Source organism: Homo sapiens, chromosome 11 (genome assembly GCF_000001405.40).
Source record: "Homo sapiens chromosome 11, GRCh38.p14 Primary Assembly".
Taxonomy (NCBI): domain Eukaryota; kingdom Metazoa; phylum Chordata; class Mammalia; order Primates; family Hominidae; genus Homo; species Homo sapiens.
Window position 1 is genome coordinate 66,981,398 of NC_000011.10, and position 1,729 is coordinate 66,983,126.

The following is a 1,729-nucleotide window of genomic DNA, read 5'->3' on the forward strand; positions in this document are numbered from 1 at the left end:
ACAGGTTCCAGGTATGCATGAATTTTGCGGAGACAAAATTCAACCCAGTAGAGGGGGGTAGTTTGATATGTGTAATAGGCAACACACACACCTCCTTCCCGTGACACTGGTGGCAGGGTAGCTCTCAGCTGGGGCACAGTAGCTTGAGGACAATGCCAAGAGAGGATCAAGGCATTTGATTATAACCTTCCTGGAAGGAATAAAGTTACGCGGTGCTGCAGACTGGTTGCCACGGCTGGGTAAAACCTTTACAACAGGCTCTGAGGTCCATTAGAAAACTTGTCTCAGCCAGGTGCAGTGGCTCACACCTGTAATCCCAGAACTTTGGGATGAGAAAGCAGGCAGATCACTTGAGGTCAGGAGTTCGAGATCAGCCTGGCCAACATGGTGAAACCCAGTCTCTACTAAACAAATAAAAAAATTAGCCAGGTGTGGTGGCGAGCACCTGTAATCCCAGCTACTCGGAAGGCTGAGGCAGGAGAATCGCTTGAACCCGGGAGATGGAGGATGCAGTGAGCCGAGATCTCCCCACTGCACTCCAGCCTGGGCAACAGAGCAAGACTCTGTCTCACAAAAAAAAAAAAAAAAAAAAAAAATTAATGAAAGGAAAAAAAACTTGTCTCTTTACCAGTAACTTGGAAAAGCAGGGGAAAAAGGCAAAAAAGAAAGAAAACTTGTCCCCAGGCTGGAGGCCAGAAGGGTGGCCACAGAGTTTCTAAATTGGGTGACCGCTCTTCTGTCAATAATAGTCCCTGAAGAATTTTTAAACAGAGGAAGACAGGAAGAAGGAAAATAGCGTTTCTGAATCACTCACGGGGTCCACGCCTTCTTCTGGGCACTCAGCCAGGGCCATCTGGAGAGACAATAGGATTCAGTGGCTAACCGCGCTGGTGCTGGGGCCAGACTACCTGGGTTTGAATCTTGACTCTACCACTTGGTGGTTTATAACCCTGAGCAAGTCACTTATCTTCTCTGCCTCGGTTTCCTCATTTGTAAAATGCAGCTAATAACGGCACTCAGCTCCTAGGGTCACTGAGGGGCTCTCATGAATGTAAGGTCCTTAGCACTGCCCAGAACAGAGGAAGTATCCTTATGATCTAATCATCCTCGTGGCAGCCACACAGGGCTGGCATCATTGTCCTCATTCTACAGGTGAAGAAATGGAGATCCATTCTTTTTTTTTTTTTTTTTTTTTGAGATGGAGTCTTACTCTGTCACCCAAGCTGGAGTACAGTGGCAGGATCTCTGCTCACTGCAACCTCCGCCTCCTGGGTTCAAGCAATTCTCCTGCCTCAGCCTCCCAAGTAGCTGGGATTACAGGTGTCTGCCACCACGCCTGGCTAATTTTTGTATTTTTAGTAGAGACGGGGTTTCACCATGTTGGCCAGGCTGGTCTTGAACTCCTGACTTCAAATGATCCACCTGCCTCGGCCTTGCACATACTGCTTGCACATACTGTTCCCTCTGCCTAGAACACTCTTCTCTCCCTTTTTCTAGCTTATTCTCTCTTCATCTTTGGCTCAAGTATCTCATCCTCAGGGATGTCTCCCTCTCCTGCTCCCCCAGACTGAGCTGGTCTCCCTTCACCTTCCCAGAATCCTGGCTTCGTCCCCAGGGCCCCAGGCACTTAGACATCGGGTGTGGAGGGGGTTCAATGGTGGCCCCAAAGAGATGTGTCCATGTTCTAATCCCTGAACCTGTGAATGTGACCTTATTTGGAAAAAAGGTC

The 1,729-nt window shown here is 48.7% G+C and overlaps 1 annotated feature.

The window, feature by feature from the left end:
* Positions 621–915: a silencer, noted in NCBI's record as "tiled region #11253; K562 Repressive DNase unmatched - State 5:Enh". NCBI's record gives its function as "represses a minimal TATA promoter and a strong SV40 promoter by Sharpr-MPRA in K562 cells {active_cell/tissue: K562}" and the evidence as "EXISTENCE:reporter gene assay evidence [ECO:0000049][PMID:27701403]".